General features: G+C 35.9%; 1 protein-coding gene across 17 annotated transcripts in view, besides 3 other annotated features; it reads left to right on the top strand.

Annotated features, from left to right (window-relative positions):
• The window catches only part of ROBO1 (roundabout guidance receptor 1), a 1,170,760-nt gene that overhangs the window by 760,662 nt on the left and 389,922 nt on the right, over nt 1-20,176 (top strand). The window lies entirely within an intron of this gene.
• Nucleotides 11,434-14,209: an enhancer, noted in NCBI's record as "VISTA enhancer hs1475". NCBI's record gives its function as "enhancer in: limb[5/5] | branchial arch[5/5] | tail[5/5]" and the evidence as "EXISTENCE:transgenic organism evidence [ECO:0001131][PMID:17130149]".
• Nucleotides 13,678-13,822: an enhancer, noted in NCBI's record as "145 bp enhancer 273 fragment used in the MPRA reporter construct; PK_construct_1713". NCBI's record gives its function as "activates an SV40 promoter by MPRA in HepG2 cells {active_cell/tissue: HepG2}" and the evidence as "EXISTENCE:reporter gene assay evidence [ECO:0000049][PMID:23512712]".
• Nucleotides 13,744-13,757: a transcriptional cis regulatory region, noted in NCBI's record as "HNF4 motif; MPRA enhancer 273 activity is reduced when this motif is scrambled". NCBI's record gives its function as "necessary for full MPRA enhancer 273 activity {active_cell/tissue: HepG2}" and the evidence as "EXISTENCE:site-directed mutagenesis evidence [ECO:0005528][PMID:23512712]".

The raw sequence follows: 20,176 nt of genomic DNA, 5'->3' as shown, positions 1-20,176 counted from the left end.
TTTCTTCATAGCATAGACATTTACAATTTTTATAAAACTTGTCTGCATATTAAGCTAAAACCTAACTCTAATTCCTGACCTACTGGCCTTGGTTTTATCCTCCAAAGCTACCCAAGGTAAATCTAATTTAGTTTCAGTATTTGAAGAGAGTTATTTTGTTCTTTTTAAACTTGTTATTCTTCAGGCACAAGATGCCCTTTTTTTTAAATTTTTCTTATTTGATACAGATTCATTTCCCTTGGTTATGTTGTTTTTGTTGTTATTGTTTTCAATATATCTAATTAGCCAGTGTTTTTCTAAAGTGTAATGTCAAGTTTGAGGAGTCTACCTTCCTGTTTATTTAAAAATGTAAATAACTTTTAATTTTCTTCTAACCTTCCAACAAATCTTGCATTTTATAAATATTCCCTTGGTATCCTGGGATGTCCTACTTTTCTGGATCAGGAGATTTAAAATGTATTAAGAAGCTAGATAACTGGTCTTTTCATCTTTATTTCCCACTGAACCATCTGAAGTCTGGTCTAAAGTCACAGTCTCACAATAAAACTTATGAGAGTCTGTTTTTTTTTTTTTTTTTTTCCGATATTTTGTAAGGGTTGAAAACTGAAATGCCTATACAAGGTCTGTATAAGAAAGGAAGTGCTTGTATTAGGGCCAAGGAGTGGCTGGCTGAATCTTGCTCCAGGGAAATACAGCCTCAATGTAGACATACTTTCAGATGGACTTTCAGATGGACTTTTCAAGAGGAAGCATAATTCTGCGTTTTTAAATACAATTTCCTAACCAATAAATATGGGTAGTTGAGTGTGAATTAATAATAATAATAAGCGCTTGCACCAAATATGATATATAGTCATCATTTTGTGGCTGCAGTATTACACCACTCATCCTATGGCCAACTGGCCTATCTGTTGCTGCCTATTTCTACTTTAAATACATCAGTATCTCCTTACTTTTTGTTATCTTCTGTGTTTTACCTTTTCATTTTTCTGGTGTTTGCCCCTCTTCTTTGTATGGTTACTAGTTAAATGTTTACATAATGGCTTACTTAACCAAAAGCTTCTCCTTTATTGGTAGCTATTTACATTTTACAAATTGTATTTGTTGAGCCAGGCAAAGTGATCAGTTTTACTGTTTATGTTTATTCTTTTGTCCTAAAGCTAACAAACAAAGACAACAAAACCACGAGCCCTTTGATGAGCTAAGAGTCCCTGATGAGCTGAATAAATAAATATATTCTTGAATAAGAAGAGAAATTATCAAAATGGCTTAAAGCTTACTGATTGCTATTAAGAGGTGCACTACTGTGTTGCATATGAATTACATGTTAAGAAAATACATTAAGGAAATTTTAAGAAATAAAAATAAAGAAAATCGAGGTTGTGGCTGAATTGCAAAGAAGTCCCTACCTTCTGCAAGTATTTCTTGCAGAAATCTAGTTTCCCTTATTTGTTTTATTATTTGCTAATAGAGTATTAGTTGTTTGACAGAAATATTTTCAGGAGAGAAGCTTACTCTGAAGGGTCAGTAATCATTAACAATTGAATATTAACCAGAAATGAAAAGAAAGCATCTCTGAAATAATTTGTCAGTGAAAAATGTTATTTGACTTATAAAATATTGATTTGTGCACAGTTTTCAAGAGCATATCTAGCATTTCTGTGAGGAATCTTGTGCATAATTCATAAATATTTCTAAAATAACATTTGGAGGATTTCTTTAGGCAACAGAAATGGTATAATATGCTCAGGTGGTTGAGATATACTACAAAACTATATGAAGAAACTTTTGTTAACTCTTTTTTCACTGGGAAAACTTGGTTATTTTTTGCAAAATTTAAGAAAAATATTTCTAAACGTAGAAATTTTTAGTTTTCATTCTGTTTCACGGTAAAATACATAGAATTTGTTTTTGTGTCTGAATGATTCATCCTGCTGGAATAATATGGTAGTCCCATTGGGGATCATTAAGAGCATTACTCATGTAAGACATCTATCAGGGGCAGCCCTCCTCATGCTAAATTCTAGAGCTACAGCTCAGGAATCATATGAGACGCTCACAGGCATGAAGAAGGGAATAACGTCTGAGTGGGAGAAGGTCAAGGCACGGGCAGGGAAGAGGTCAGGTGCAGTAATGTGCCCTGGGCAAGGAGAGCTGATTCATTTGAAGCTGGAAACCGTCACCAACATTTTATTGTCCATAGGAGGCATGTTTAAAGATGAGCATTATCTGATGCCTTGACAAAATAGCTTGCCAATAATAACGGATTCTTCGTTATTTGAAAAGGCAGCCAAGACTCCCACATTTCTTTGGAAATTGTTTCTATAGATGATAACTGCAGCCTTTAGAAGAATGTAGTGAGAATATATTGGCTAATTTGTCTGAGCTTTGATGATTTTTATGGTCCCTGGGACCGTAACTCTATTTCTTCTCCTTATTTCCTTACAAAGACCTTTTCTTCTTTGTGAACCATAGAAATAGAATGTTTAATTCATTTTCTTATGAGACAGCACCTTGTATTTGGATATGTTGGAATTATTGATTTGCTTACATTGCACACATGCCTAATTAGGGCACCAATTTTAACCACACGAATACACTCTTACTCCTCTGGCTTTTCTAACATCTGCTTCCTCTATTTGGGGATACACTGTCTATATCCTTTCCTGTCTGTCCTTTTCCCTCCCCTGTTTTCCATCCCAATTCCTGTTTGTCCTAATGAATCAATACAGGTGTCTCATCTTCCGGTAAACCTTAGCTGTCCCATTCACCTACCCAGGATAGATTTGATGTATTTCTTATGTTTCTCTAGCATCCTCTACATACTGTCTTTGCCCACAGTCATGCCATATTGCATACACTCATCTGTATCTCCTTTCAAACTACGAGAGTCTGTGTCTAGTTAAATACTTACAACCTGCACATATGTCATTCTGTGAATTAATAAGTGATTTAGGGAATAAAATTGGAGTATGAATTTCTTGACTTTGCTTTGACAGGAGTTATAGAAGGGATGAATATGTCTTCTGATTTTTGAGCAAATTGTTATTTTAAAAACAGAAAAATGAACACATGAAAGAAGAAATACCAAAATTGCCAAATATCGCAAATTTACATCCCCATGTTTAAAAAAAAATCAAAAGTCTTGGAACAACTTGTGGTAGAAATGTTGTATAGCACCAAATTCAGAAGTAATTTATAAATGGGGGCACTCAACAGTTATATTTGTACTGGATCTCACAAAATAGGTTGCTAAGGACTTTGGATGTCTACCTTGGCTTGGAGTTTGTGGATTTTTCTATGGGTTTTCTATAGACTGATTATGGTATAGTGCAGGAGAAAAACATGTCTTGGATTTAGAGTAGGTTGTTGCTGGCTTCGAATCTGCCATTAAATAGTTTTTCACCATGCCATGGGTATGTGGTTTTTCATCTGTAATATGCAGGAATTGAACCAGTGGATATTTTAGTCTCTTCCAGAATTGAAGTGCTGTAGTTTTTAACCTAGGAATAACACAGTGAGCTGGATTATTTGTCAATGAGTTTTTCCTCCTCAGTGTGCTTTTCAGTAGAGCATAGGTTATAAGGCTTCCGGGTTAAAATACCTAGGTTTGAAATCCTGCTTCATTACCAACTAGCCATGTCAACTTGAATGGATTATGTCAATAGAAATTTTTATTTTTCATTATGTTTCACAGTAAAATGCGTACAATTTCTTTGTGTGCTTTCTTTTTTTTGCTGCTTTCCTTATCATTAAAATTGAGATAATATGAGTATCTACTTGATGGGGTTACTGTGAAAACTAAATAAGTTGACATATGTAAAGTACTTGAAAGAGTGTTCGGCATGTTTTGACTTCTATTTAGTATGAATTGTTGCATTGTTTCTATTATTATTTTCCTAATTAAGTAGTCTTTATCAAGTTTTGTTTGTTTTGTTTTGCTTTATTTTTCTTTAAAGAAACTAGTTTATGTTAGTTCTGGGTGTAGACCCTGATTTCCAAACCCCAAATTTAAAAATAATTTAATCTCCCCTCCCGGTGATTTCAAAACAGCAAACAAAAGCAGAGAAGGCATGAGCATTGTCAAGGAAAATTCAGCGTTAATTTGACAGTTTGGAGACAGATTTCTGGGCAGATTGCCATGTCAATGTGATGGCCATTTCTATCCCAGCAAAGGAAAATATAATAATGTTTATGCTGTACAAAAATGCCAACAATTAGAGGCTATATCAGCTTGCTTCCCCACTCCCACATTTAAAAAAATGTTAATGCTTCTAAGAGGATTAAGAGATTTACAATTACTGTGATTATTTTAATCAGATTATAGATCTTCCTTTACTTGGAGCTCAGCTCTTTAGCATTGGGGAATCGAGGTTTTCATGTGGAGTGTGGGATGGGCACAGGGACTGAGAAATGTGGAAGATGGAGAAAAATGAGGCCCTTTTGAGTCCTGGAGCAATACAGTGGGCCACATTGAGAGAGGGGAGTTCTAAAGACAGGTGAAGTATTAGCTGCAAACTTCACTTGTTGAAAATGTTTTTGAATCCCGAGACACTGTTTCCAACTTCCTTCTCTACTAATTAAGTTACACCCTCAAGAAAGCAAAGATGAAATTGAAAGTATTAATACTGTGGCTTAAGAACATGATTTTCAGGTTAGCAATTGACATAAGCCTGGGAAATTCATAGTATTTATGGAGTAATGTGGTGGTTAGCAGCTTGGCCTCTAGAGTCATTCATTCATTTAATAAATAATTATCACATTTTGTGTGTCTGGCTGGCTGTACTCTAATTTTGACACTATCACTGGTGAACTGTGAAATTGATTATATTTAGCTTTTCTAAATCTTCCTTATCTGTAAATGAGGGATAGATTAAATGCAAAACACACAAATTTCTTATAGGTATTATTTAATTTTATCTCTTCATATGAACATATATTTCCAAGAAAGCAGCAAAATATTGGACTATTGATACTTAATGCTAATTAAGTACCAATTAGAAATAGTAATACTGGAAGAAATTTGAAGAAGGTAGGGAGAGGTGTAGGTTCCATGACCAAAAGAGCAGCCTAATTTCCAATGCTGCCAACTTGAGTGTGACATATCCCCCTTCATATTGTCTATTTCATTCCAGGCCAGCATTTCATGTATGCCTGTCATTGCCACTTGCTTCACATGTGCTCATGGTCAGTTTATCAGGGAGGCCTTCCTTGAATTCCTTACTTACAGATTCTCCTGTAAATATCTATAGTCTCTTGTCACTGTGTGGGATGACCCATGGCTATTTTACAGAACTAAAGTATCCAAATAGTTACCACACCACCTAGCACATAGTGGGAGCTCCATAACTGTTTGTTGATTGAATGAAATTCTAAACTGATCATTTTAACTTTCTAAAAAAAAGCATTTCTAAGAAAAAATAATACATTCTCCTCCAAACTGAAAATTAAATAAGTTTATGTTATCTAATATTTTGCTTATCCTTAATATTGATTATTTTTTCCATAAATGTAATAGTAAAGAGCTCACAGTGAGGTTGCCTTCAGTATTATTAAAGAGACACATTTAAATGTTGAATTGCTTCTTTTAGGAAATTATAGTGATAAGCTCTATATTTGAGATTGCTGAGAAACATCTAGACAATTTGAGAACCTCAAATTATTGTTAAAATAATTTTTTAAAAATTGCCTAGTATCTTACAGAAACTAACTCATATATAGATGGGCAGAAAAAGTACAGTGAAACTCTCTTCTATTCTTTAGGATAATTTATATAACCTTTACTGGGTACCTGCCATAAGTCAAAGATTTCTGGGCAGTGATGATATGAAAACAAAATTAGTTATGGTCACTACACACAAAGTTCACGATACGGTTTGGCTGTGTCCCTACCCAAATCTCATCTTGAATTGTAGTTCCCATAATCCCCATGTGTCGTGGGAGGGATCTGGTGGGAGGTGGTTGAAACATGGGGGCAGTTATTTCCATGCTGTTCTCATGATAGTGAGTGAGTTCTCATGAGATCTGATGGTTTTATTTATTTATTTAATTTTACTTTTCATTCTGGGGTACATGTGCTGAACATGCAGGTTTGTTACATAGGTATACATGTGCCATGGTGGTTTGCTGCACCTGTCAACCTGTCATCTAGATTTTAAGCCCTGCATGCATTAGGTATTTGTCCTAATGCTCTCCCTCCCCTTTCCCCCGACCCCCTGACAGGCCCCGGTGTGTGATGTTCCCCTTCCTGTGTCCATGTGTTCTCATTGTTCAGCTCCCACTTATGAGTGAGAACATGCGGTGTTTGGTTTTCTGTTCCTGTGTTAGTTTGCTGAGAACGATGGTTTCCAGCTCCATCCATGTCCCTGCAAAGGACATGTACTTGTTCTTTCATATGGCTGCATAGTATTCCATGGTGTATACGTGCCACATTTTCTTTATCCAGTCTATCATTGATGGGCATTTGGGTTAGTTCCAAGTATTTGCTATTGTAAATAGTGCTGCAGTAAACATACGTGTGCATGTGTCTTTATAGTAGAATGATTTATAATCCTTTGGGTATATACCCAGTAATGGGATGGCTGGGTCAAATGGTATTTCTGGTTCTAGATCCTTGAGGAATCACCACACTGTCTTCCACAATCGTTGAAGTAATTTACACTCCCAACAGTGTAAAAGTGTTCCTATTTCTCCACATTCTCTCCAGCATCTGTTCTTTCCTGACTTTTTAATGATCGCCATTCTAACTGGTGTGAGATGGTATCTCATTGTGGTTTTGATTTGCATTTCTCTAATGACCAGTGATGATGAGCTTTTTTTCATATGTTTATTGGCCACATAAATATCTTCTTTTGAAAAGTGTCTGTTCATATCCTTTGCCCACTTTTTGATGGGGTTGTTTGATAAATGGGATCTAATTAAAGAGCTTCTGCTCAGCAAAAGAAACTATCATCAGAGTAAACATGCTAGCTCCAGAATGGGAGAAAATTTTTGCAATCTATCCATCTGACAAAGGTCTACTACCCAGAATCTACAAGGAACTTAAACAAATTTACAAGAAAAAAACAACCCCATCAAAGAGATCTGATGGTTTTCTAAGGGGCTTTTCCTCTTTTGCTGTGCACTTCTCCTTGCTGCTGCCATGTGAAGGATGTATTTGCCTTCCCTTCCACCATGGTTGTAAGTTTCCTGAGGCCACCTCAGCCATGCTGAGCTGTGAATCCATTAAACCTCTTTCCTTTATAAGTTACCCAGTCTCAGGTAGGTCTTCATAGCAGCATGGGAACGAATTAATACAGTTCACATTGTCTAATAATTGAGGAAGGCATATGAATAATTAGAATATGATGAACACACACCCACATGGTAATAGAAGTGCAAGAAGGGAAAATGTACTTCCTACTAGGGTCAAGGAGTATTTAAAGAAAATTTGAACTAAATATTAATGAATATTCTATGTGTTTTGCGTGATTGCCCATCAGACTAAGCAGAAGTAAAACATATAGGCAGAGAGAAGAAAAATCATGTTGTATGTATACTGAAGAAACCATCAATAATTTAGAATTATTTTCTCATCAGGTGCCTGTAAAGATAAACCTATGGTCAGAATATGAAGATTTTCTCTTTTTTGTTCAACTTTTATTTTAGATTCAGGGGGTACATCTGCAGGTTTGTTACAAAGGTATATTGCACGATGCAGAGGTTTGGAGTAAGAATGATCTAGTCAGCCAGGTACTTAGCATAGTACCCAAAAGTTAGTTCTTCTACCCTTGCTCCTTTCCCTTCCTTTCCCCTCTGGCAGTCACTGATATCTATTGTTCCCATCTTTATGTCCATGAGTACCCAAATTTTAGCTCCCACTTATCATTGAGAACATGTGAAAGTTGGTTTTCTGTTCCTGTGTAAATTTGCTTAGGATAATGGCTTTCAGCTGTATCCATGTTGCTGCAAAGAACATGATTTCATGCTTCTTTATGGCTGCATAGTATTCCATGTCACATTTTATTTATCTATTCTACTGTTGATGGGCACCTAGGTTGGTTCCATGTCTTTGGTATTGTAAGTAGTGTGATGAACATGCAAGTGTATTTATCTTTTTGTAGGTCGATTTGTTTTATTTTGGTTAATGGGATTTGGGGCTTGAATAGTAGTTCTGTTCTAAGTTCTTTGAAAAATCTCCAAACTTTTTTTTTACGGTATCTCCACTAATTTACATTCCCACCAACAGTGTATAATAAGTGTTCCCTTTTCTCCACAGCCTTGCCAACAGCTGTTATTTTTGACTTTAATAATAGCCATTCTGAGTGGTGTGAGATGGTATGGATTGTAGTTTTGATTTGCATTTCTCTGAATATTAGTGAAGTGGAGCATTTTTTCATATTTTTCCTGGCCACTTGTATATCACAGAATATGAAGATATTCTGTGTTAAGTAGACTGCCTTTAACTATGTGGCAAAGGAAACCATTAAATGCTTTTTATGTAGGTAACTGCCTATCCAAAATAGGGTGGGACAGAAAGATCTCTCAACCAGTAGCATGGAAGTTGGATTAGGCTATTAAACTAATAAAGGGGAGAGATGATGAGTAAAGACATTGTTACTGGAAATGAAGCAAAGAGGAAGGATAAACAGTTTTTGGATAGTAGAATGAACAGATAGAACTGATAGAATATAGTCAGCAGGAAGGGATTTCAGGTGACTATCAATCAGGAGACTAGACTAACATGGACAACAAGGACTTAAGCGGTAAGGGAAGAACAATTATGTTTACAAGAAACACTGGGAATTGCACTTAGGTTGACTTTGTGATGCCAGTGGGTTGTCCACCTAAGCGTTTTACAAAACATGAAATGCAATGCCTGAAATGTTACAAAATATTAAGATAATAATCTGATGTAAAGATTCAGCTTTAGGAGAAATCTGAGTATAAGTGTAGGGCAAGTTTCTCTATAGAGGCTTGAGAGCAAGCAGGTAGACACAGAACATGGCCTGAAATAAAACTAGTTCTTCCGGCCTACTTTTGCCGTCGTTATTACTATTACTATTTAGACTAAAATACTGTGAGCTGGTACTTAAGATTAGACGTATGTGTTATTAAAGAAGACAGAATTAAAGGAAATGGTTATTTCTGAGTCGTATTAGCTGCATTATCTTCAATTTTGAACAAGTTTACTCTTTGATAAGTACGTCGCAATTGCAATATACACTATTGATTTAGAAAAACCATGGGGTATGGAGTAGGTGCAAGTTACAATTTAATTCCACAAATATTTACTGAGCAATCACTATGTAACATTGTCTAGAATAAAATTAGAGGTTCACTGAATCTCAGAGTGGGAAGAAAATAATGAAGTCTGGTCCAACATATACTAAAACAGAAATTCATTCATGTTTACACATTAAGGTCTTTATGTGTTACTCTTCTCATTTCCAAAGATAGACCTTCTCTTTCCCCACAAATGCTGAACTGCTTGCACTATGCAACTTTCAGATCTCATCTTTTGAAATGCTGTTTCTTCCTCTTACCCTACTGCCCAATTAATACTCAGCACACATAAGACGGGTCAAGCATCACTTCAGGAGGATGTTTATCCTCCCCTCCCCAACTCCAATTCTTCAAGTCTAGGTGAGTTGGCCCCTTCTGTGTGCTACTGTGGTGTTCTGTACATGTCTTTACTGTAAGAATGTGTCAATTACACTGTGTTGTATTTTACATTTGTTTGCTTCCACTCCACATTTTGAATAATTTGAGGGTATAGTGGATTTCTTCTTGATCTCTGTGTGCCTAGAACCCAATACAGTGTCTCCTGCTTCAATCTGAGTGCATTGATTGAACAAACATTTAATGACAAGGAGAATGTGAAGCACAGAAGAGTGAATTACTGCTAGTGGAATGGTTTGTTCATTTCTCGAATGCTTAGAATGGATCACCACTCTACTCGGTGAATACCAAAATCATACCAAACCAAACAACCCACGTTTTTCCTAGTCTCTCATGGAACCTATATGCTAGTGGTCAGAGAAACAATCAATCCTGTTTTATAAAAAAAGATGTATTTCACAGTGGTGTTGAGGAACATTTGAAATTATTCCACACCCCCCAAAAACCAAAAATGTGCGATGCTTATTCCTTCTTTTGGCAAAGTTGGAGTGGAGGAAGGAGAAAACTCTATCTGGGTTTGTCAAGTCCAGCACTAATCACATTTTGGATCAGATAGTTCTTTGTGGTAGAGGCTGTCCTATGCATTGTAGGATGTTTAGCAGCCTTCCTGGGCCTGTCTCACTACCAGTAGATAGCATCCCCCATTTATGACCAGCAAAAATATCCAGACATTGCCAGGTGTTCTGGGGAACAAAAGTTGAGAAACACTGTCTTATATCTACATGAAGATACTCCTTAAAAAGAGTCCATCTGGCAGAACAACATTGAGGTAGGTTAATATCTACTTATGTATTAATCCACCTCTACATAAATCATACACATATAAACATGTATTCTTATGTGTATACACACATGCTTATGTATCTGTGTACACACAAACAATATTTGTAGCAATTTATTTTAGATGTTTAACAAATGGCGTTGTTAGCCTGAAGTTCAAAAGGGGTGTGTGTGTGTGTGTTTGTGTGTGTGTATGTGTGCATGTGTGTGTTTGTGTGGATCTATCTTGTTCACTCATTTAAATATGTTCTGCATTGATTTTTATTGAAAATGGGTTTTATCAATACATCAGTAAAGCCGTTCCTTGTCGACTAAATTTACCAGTGTGAACTGGTCAAATCTTCCATGAGGATGAGACACTATAAGAGAATCAAATAGGAAATAGGGTGATGTTGCAGTGACTTGCAGAGAGAGGCCACTGTTAGATAGAATAAATGCAGAAATTCATGGGTAAAATAAGTACAAAGGTTTGGAGGTAGGAAAAGCTTGATAAATTAGAGAAACAGAAGTGGTAGATTGTCCAAGGATAGAGATAAAGTGGGAGTTTTTTTTTTTTGTTTTTTTTTTTTGTTTTTTTAATAGAGATGGGTTTCAGTGTGTTGGCCAGGGTTGTCTTGAACTCCTGGCCTCAAGCAGTTCTGTCTCAGCCTCTTAAAGTGCTGGGATTACAGGTGTGAGCCACCGTGCCTGGCTTGGGAGATTGTTTTGAGAAGTCATCACCCAAGAGCCTTATATACCAGTTGGTGGAGGTATTTGATTTATTTCACATTGTTTTAAAAATATTGGGGTAACATATAAAAATTGAAATTTTTTCATAAAAATCAAGACTTCTAGCTTCTCTGAAAAAACTAGATGGTCTGATAACTTCAGATTCTCCCTCCCATATGGAATCTTTCATTTGGAGCTGGATTGGAGCTGCCCCTTTAGGCAGCCCCCATGTTCTCTGGTTTGCCAGTACCCTTCACTTATATCATGTATGCCCACATCTGAATGTCTGGCCTGTGTTGCTCTTACTTAACTACCTGATCCTGTAGGTACACACTTTTTATTCTCTAATTTAGGGGCTTGAAGGGCCTAGTAAGGACTTTTTTTTATTACTTTTTAATTTCTTTTTTTCTTTTTTTTTTTTTGGAGACAGAGTCTCGCTCTGTTGCCCTGGCTAGAGTATAGTGGCACCATCATAGTTCACTGTAGCCTCGACCTCGTGGGCTCATGTGATCCTCCGGTCTCTGCCTCCCAAAGCATTGGGATTACAAGCCTGAGCCGTTGTCTTCAGACCTAGAATTTTTTAAAGAACATAAACGTGAATTAAGATGGTGTTAAGCAGAAGAGTCACATGATTTACTTTAAAAACGGAAAAGATTACCCAACATGCTCCCGATCGACGGGCTATAGAGGCAAGAGTGGAGATGGGGCAGAGATTTAAGAGATCACTTTAGAAGGCTTTGATAATGGCTCTGTCTGAGATGGTGCCAGGGAGGTGGATAGAAGCAGTGCAGGGCTCTGTGTTGCTCGGTTCCAGGTTCATCATGCTTGCTGGCGTCATTAACCACCCTGTGGAGCAAGCCTAGGCACCATGAGTGATAAGATATCACCCTTTGGATTTGTGCAATGTAGCATTCCTGAAGGCAGGATTTGGGACATACTTTGCAGGTAGAAATCAAGGCTCCTGGCGATGAATGTGCCTTGTGTTGGAAGCAACGGTAGTTACGGAAAGAAAAGAATATCATCAGTTACCCAACTTTGATTTGGATTATTCTTTGTTCAGTTACAGATGGAATTGGTTAGAATTAATTTTTGTCAGTATTAAAAGTATAAGGTGCACTACAGAAGACAGCAGAATAGACACTTCTGGCTTCGAGTGTATAGCAGTCATTAGTTTCCATCTGGTTCTCTAAGCAAGTGCCATATGAAAACTGTCCTGGTAGGCTGAATGTATGGATTCATGTCTGTGAGGTATGTATAAACACACGATGTGAATTCTTGCCCCTTCTAGCGTTTTAATGGCCTCCCATTAAATGGTAGGTCATTATACTTTTCACTGAGACAGTGAAGGGTGATTAACTCCGTCTGGGTTCAACCAGTGTAATTTTAGAGGCTACAAATATTGTTACAAGTCAGGTTAAGGTTTAAAGGTGAAAGTATAGTGAAGCTTGGCTGCATGACTTTTACAGCATTGAGTTAATGTACACAAACAAAGAAACTCTTGTTTTCTTTCCATTATGAGTACAGAGAACAAATGACTCACTTGTTTTAGAGAGGAAAATGTGAAAATTAGGTTGGTCTACAATAAAATTCATGCTGTGTGAACCCATTTACTCGGTATTTCCAATTGAAAGTTCTTTTAAAAGCCGTGTTTCACATTGCTGAGATTTAAATACTTTAAACCCTGAATGTCATGCCCTTTGTTAAGATAACGCTATCCTAACAAATGGCATCAACAGATTTACTATCTTTTACATAAAGAAGGTGGTTTACCTCCATAAAATATGGTAGCGCACATTTAGAGGAGAAAATTGCCCTTTTTTCTCCACTGTTTTTAATAGCTCCAGCTTCCCCCAAAATGCTTCCATCCTCACCATTTATCTCAGTAAATACTTGGGGTAATCTGATACAGCCCTTTCCTTTTCGCTGGTTGAATTCAAATCTTGGAGCCTGGATATCAGTCGAGGAATGGAGTTTGAGGGCATAAGGTTACTTGTGACCATCCAGGAATGGAATTAAAAGGCGAAAGCTTCCTTTTAAAACTCTGTTCTGTATCTATATTGATCTTAAAGGCAGATGAGAAATAAAGTCTGATATCTATATAGATCAATTTGGCTGAAATGACTAGATTTGTTGAGGCCTCTCATGAGAAACTTCATGTAAGTGCTGGGAACTATAACATCCTAGTCATTTTTTTTTTTAAAGCTGGTATCTAGTAAAATAACCATTCTCTTTCTTTTCCTTTAATATTTAACACCCTTTTTACACATAACTTTTGCTTTGATTTGAATTTCTGTCAAAATGTGACAGGATTTTGTGGGAAAAAAAACCATTTTGGCTTAACAGATTTTGATGCAAACTTTAAAGAATTTAGAGAACATCTTGTTTTTACAGAAGTAGAATAGATTTCACTTTGGAAGCCCTGGAAAACTAAATAACACAGCAAAAGCCTCATAGGAATTAACAATTATGGGCAAAGTAAATAGTTTTCATTTGGGCCAATGGATCCTTCAAAAAACACAGCCACCCGATCTGGTGTGATTCACGTTGTAAAGGTTGGGGTGAGATGACGAGGTCTAGTCCCTGAGGTCATGGCGGAAATGCAAAGGTCAAGGCTTTTCACTTAGCCTTGTGTCAACAGTGTCATGCTCTAATAAGTCTAAGAACTGATTTGACTGGGTTCAACTACATATATAAGTGTATTACACCCTTGCCTCCACTTAAATAAAGAAGTGAGTAAATGCAGGCTTTTAGGCCTTTGTATTCCTGCCTAAATTTGACTCAAATTCAAGGAATTTACAACTATGAGGGGGAAAATAAGGTCTCCTTACAATGCAGTTTACTTAGGATTTGAGTATGCTTGTTAAGTAGGATTTTTAAAGAAACGTTTTGAAAGTATGCATGTATGTATGCGTGTGCTTGTGCTTGTGCATGCACCCTTGAGCATCTTATTGTTAAAATTAATCTTTTTATCATATCCATCCACCCACACATGTCTGATTCCAGAACATGTCAGATTCACAAGTGTGAACTAATTTTACATTATTTGGCTTGAATGCAGTCCTCTTGTGTTCAGAGTTGATTTCCTTTGATGATTTAAAATTGAGTTAGATTCTATAAATGGTGGGATTATGAGAGGAGAATTGAGAAAGTCTGGCTCAGTGTTGTGAAATACTTAGAGAAAATATTGTTCAGCTTTTCTGCCACTCCATGGCCAACTAGATATATGTATTCGCATCTCCTACGAAAATCTTGGCGTGTTCTTTTGTCCTTACTGCTGCTTCAGCTTCTGGTAAATAGAAGAATCTGATCCACCTCAGAGCTTTCCTTGAACAAGGGTTTTGTTGCTCTGGAAAACACTAGGTGTACACAGACATGCTTGAATTTCATGAATGTCTTCTAGTGTGAAACAATGTGTGATAATATTGTGTTTCTAGACTCTTTTTTTACTTGTCTTGGTCTTGATTTTAAATGCCTTTAAGACAAAGTTGACACAGGCCACAACTCCAAGGGTATTTGTATTCTGTTTAAACAGTGGCTTTGGGATTGTGTAGCTTTTACTAGCAAGCCACAGCACACCTTGACTCACACTGTTTTAAACAGTAAGTAAATGTATTATGTCATACAAGTAATAATTCAAGTGACACAAACTGCTCACAAATGTCATCAAGCACTGCATATTTCCTGCCATTGCCAGGGTCTGCTTCTACTCAGGACTACTTTTCCTTGTTTAGGCAAAATTGTTGCTAGTGGTGACTAGGGATCCTTCTTTCACTTTCAGCAATAGTGAGAGGAAACCCTCCTCCAGCTTAACAATGTAAGCCCTTCCCATCAGTCTTATTGAGCCACCTTCAGATAAATACTACCTTTGCACCAATAAACGTACCAAGGAAATGACATGTGGAGGTTGGCTTAGCGAGATGATATCTACACCAGGATCCAGGATTGGTATCACTTTCACCTGAAACATGTTGGGTAGCCATGGATGCCTAAACAATATGAAATCCATTAGGAAGGCATATGGCACCACGTTCTTTGTCAAATAATTGTATTCAGTCTTACACTTATTAGTAGAAATTATTATCCTGGAGCATTCTATCATTACATTATAATCTGGACTGTTTTCTTTGTAGGCCTGTGACACAGTTTTCATTTTAAATTTTAGCCATAATTTAAAATGTAGTCATACTTTTAATTTCTACAAGTATGTGCTAGTTCTCTATTCATTTTTCATAGCATTTTGGTTTTTTTTTGTAGATAGAATATCTTCCTAAATATTTCAGAGTTTATTGTCTAGTATTTTTTTCCATAATTTCTTCTATGATGCCTGAGTTAGCTCCATTTCCTCTGGTGTCAATGTTTAGCTTCTTAAATTTGGCCCTTCCATCTCATCCTGCTGCTTTTTCTCGTATGTCTGATAATCCTTCCTATGGAATAAGCAACTGTATCGTTAATCAAAGTCCTCTGTTTTTGTGTTACAACTGATTCCCATGTGGAATTATCACTTAGAATTCTGTTTAAGAAAATGTGAGACTTTTGCTTTACTGGGATCAGCAAGGAAGCCAGGAAGCCAGCTGTCAGGATACAGGATCACTCAAATCAAATAGTGAGCATTATACCAGGTTTCACCTGGTAGTTTGTTCAGTTTCACTGGGAAAGGGTCAGCTATTTTTGCTGGAGGTAAATGCCAGCTGCCTGATTTTTGCCTGCATTTGGGGAGGGGATGACAAGTGAAAGATTTGTCCTTATACAGACCTTCAATTAATCTGTGTCTTCAGTTCCTTTTTCACATCCATCTTCCAAAGTTCCTGCTGACTTTGGATCTTGGTTTCCAAAGCTACTTCAACACACTTCTACATTTTCCAGAGCTTTTTTGCAGCAGATTCTAAGCTGCAGCTCTATTTAATTCCTGAACATGTTCAAATTGTACTAATATCTCTTGTTCATTGGTGGTACCCATCTTCCTACCCCAATTGTTTTTCCATCTCAGGACTTTCCTTTAGTACCTTTGCACATTTATTTCAGTGGGTTTTCAGAAATAGAGGAGGCATTGTGTGTGCCTGATCTGCCTCCTTAATCAATTGCTAATCCTATCCATAATATAATTTATATTTAGATTTTTTAATGTAGGTTATTACCTGTAATAATTAACATGGTTGGTTGGAATACAGTGCTAATGTTTTCACAATGATTTATTAGACCCTTAAATGGAACAACCACAGACTGAGTCCTATTACAAAGGCAATTTAAATTATACTTATTTTAACTGTATGTGTAAGAGCTTATATTTGCCATTTTATTTTATTAAGCTTGCTTGCTAAGTTTCATTTATAAATATGTAAATCCAGAATTAATTCATTTTGCTGTTCTTTTCACTCATTCAGCAACTATTGATGGGACTTCTATGAGTGCTAGTTACTGAAAATAGCCTGGTATGTAGTTTTTTTTAGTTTATGTATAAAATGTGTTCTTTAAATTTTAATAAAGCCTAACTAAAGATGAAGAACTGATTTGGAGATTTGAGAAAGAATATACATACCTTACTCTCTTTAGAGTGAACTAAACGTAGATTTGAAAGAGGATGGAAGATGCTTAAATTTTTTGTCTATGATTTCTCCTGTGCCAAGTACAATACTTATAAATAATAACCATTCAATAAGTATATATTGAAAATATGAATCCAATCTCATTGCTTTGTTATTAGTTATAAATTATGGTAATATTACCAACTTGTCTTCACTGTTGCTTATTTATAATTAGCTAACAAGGAAAACTGACTTGTTTGCCAGAACCTGTCTCAGATTCATTGAAATATATGCTCGTAGCGGGTGGCAAACTTTTGGCAGGGACACTCCACAGCTCTCCTGTTTAAATGCTGGAGGAAATTTGTAATTTAACATCGTGGAATATTAGCCAAAAAACAGTTTATTCATTTATTCTTACACATTCAGTATGACCAAAATGGCATATCGCCAATCAACAATGATTGAAAGAACACCAAGGGGGAAACAAAATCTAGTGCATTAGGAAAAATATTCTAGTGTATTAAATATTTTCTTAGGAAAAATTTTAAAATTCTAGTTAGTTTAAAAGAGAAATCTAATGTTGACTGATAATTTCTCCTTTCTTTCTTTTTTCCTGCAGTGGCTCTTGCTATTATTAAACACCACTAAGGTGTACAATTCTTTAATCAAAAGGCAAATATTTTGTTTTTATACGCATTATGGACTTTTATTTTGGTTTTCTATGGACTTTTTTAGGCTTCCACTCAATAATTTATTATATACATTTATATTTAAACAATCCAGAAGAGCATTAACTTAATTTATATATTAAATTCAAAAATGTTCCTGTCCAATGGAAGTATCTTTTTTCAATGGTATATAGGGTTTTTTTGAAGTAAATTAGTGAATAGTCAACAATGACAATTAATTTATACAACAGAAGGAAAATGCAAGGCAGCTGTTTTCTGCTTTCTTTCCCACTGAGAAAACTCAATGTTATATCCTAGACAAAGAAAGCTGTATTCCTCTGTTAAAAATAGTTAATTTCTTACTTTTATTTATTATTATTTTTTTCAGACAGCGTCTCACTCTGCCACCCAGGCTGGAGTGTAGTCTTGCAATCTCTGCTCACTGCAACCTCTACCTCCTGGGCTCAGGTGATCCTCCCACGTCAGCCTCCTGAGTAGCTGGGACTACAGGCTTGCGCCACCATGCCCAGCTAATTTTTGTATTTTTAGTAGAGACAAGGTTTTGCCATGTTGGCCAGGCTAGTCTCAAACTCCTAACCTCAAGTGTTCCACCCGCTTTGGCCTCCCGAAGTGCTAGGATTATAGGCATGAGCCCCCGTGCCTGACCTTAAATTTTTTTATTTTTAAATTTTATTTTCTTAAATAGACAAAGAATAACTTTATATTCATGGGCTACATAATAATGTTTTAATACATATAATGTATGGTAAGCATATCCATCCTCTCAAACATTTATTATTTCTTTGTGTTAGGAACCTTCAATATCCTCCTTCTAGCTATTTGAAACTATATTATCATTAGCTATAGTCATTTCACAGTGGTATAGAACACTAGAACTTACTTTACAGTGGTATAGAATGCCAGAACTTATTCCTCCTATCTACCTGTAATTTTATATCCTTTAACAAATCTCTCCCTTCCCTCTATTCTCCCTACACCTTCCAGCCTGTCTCTTCTACTTTTTACTTTTGTGATACCAACTGATATCTTACTTTCGAAGCTCTTATCCCAGCACCTTTTTTTGGTATATGACAGACAATGTATATCACATTCCTCATAACTCAAGGTATGTGATATGTGATCTTTCCATACCAGTGTCTTTCCTAAGGATCATAATTTGGCTAGTATACAACTGTTATATGTTTCCTTTATTTGGTTTGCAAAATAATTGCTTGACAATTTTGATGGAATGTAACAGCCCATTTTAAATCTGTAAAAGTAATAGAAGAGAATAAACCTTGTAACAATTACAAAACAAAGAGTTTTAGAGTTGTGAATTACTTCAGTGACAGAAATAATGCACCAAAGGATATAGCTTAAAACAGTTGATTTTAAAATCTAACTTGTGTAAATATTTTCTCTTCCTGAAATGTGTCAATGATTATCTTGGACCCAGTTATGTTTCATGCTTCCAGCAGGTGGGGATAAAAGGTCTCTGGAGATAAAAGTAATGTAGTGTGCCTTCTAAGGGAAATGTTAGACCACAAAAATAATAGAGATTTGAGAATTATGTTGTGTAAGTTAGGGAAGGTGTTATTCTTTTTCCATCTTCATAGCTCTTTCAATTTGAATTTTTGCTAATTGAAATCCTCCCTAAAATTGCACCAGACAGAGAAGTCTGGTAATTTTGTGAGATAAACACATTTCTCAGTAAAAAATTGCCTTTTAGTTCGTAGCTCTGTTTAATTGTGATGAAAACGCTGACAAAAAGGGAACTTCGAATTAAGTTGTAAAAGAATGAGAGAAAAAGAGAGAGAGCAAGATTTTAAAGTCCACTCAAGTGAAAATGACATTTGGATAGTTAGGTTGTGTACATGATCACAGCTCTTTCCCAAGATTATTTCACTATCCATGATGCTAAAGAAGACATTGCCATGTCTATTTACTCACCAAAAGTTATTAAGGGAATATACATTGCGTGTAGAAAACAAGTGTGTTTTCACTTTTTATCTTGTTCATCAATTATTTATTATTTATATTTGGGTACAGTTCTAATTATTTAGCAACTTTATATAATATAATTATGTTTTATTTTGGTGGGTACATAGTAGGTGTATGTATTTATGAGGTTTGTGAGATATTTGGATACAGGCATGCAATGTGTAATAATCGCATCAGGGTAAATGGGGGTATCCATCACCTCACACATTTCTCCTTTGTATTACAGATAATCAAATTATACTCTTTTAGTTATTTTAAAATGCATAATTAAGTTCTTATTGACTATAGTCACCCTGTTTTGCTATGAAATACTAGGTCTTATTCATTCTTTCTAACTATTTTTTTGGTACCCATTCACCATCTCCACCTCCCCTACACCTCATGGCTTTTACCTCAAGGACCTTTATGAAGGCAAAGACCAGAGATAATTAAAATGTTTTAAAACTATAAATGTTTTAACAGTATCCCTCCTCACTTCTTAGAAAATAAATATCTGCCTAAAGGAAGGATGGCTAGTCTCCCTCAGAAAGCACAGGATTTATTACTTGCCTTCACTCTTCTTCATTCTTATGCCCTGTATTTTATTGCTGATATAATTTCTTGAGGCTTAAGAGTCTCCCTGCCCCAAACCCCATCTGTTGCGTGTGTGTTGTGATACGTTGTTTACTTACTTTATTGTGGTTTTGTAAAGGCAATGTATAGTTTCTTAATTTTGTAGTATAGGTAGCTCCAAAGAAACATATACTTATTTTAAAAAAAACTATTTCTAAATATCTTACTCTTTCTTTTTTCTTCTTCTTTTTTAAAACGTGTTACTCTTTCCTTTCCATCACCTCA

This window comes from Homo sapiens, chromosome 3, assembly GCF_000001405.40.
Source record: "Homo sapiens chromosome 3, GRCh38.p14 Primary Assembly".
Lineage (NCBI taxonomy): Eukaryota > Metazoa > Chordata > Mammalia > Primates > Hominidae > Homo > Homo sapiens.
Note: the sequence above shows the minus strand (reverse complement) of the source record. Positions and strands in the feature narration are given on the sequence as shown.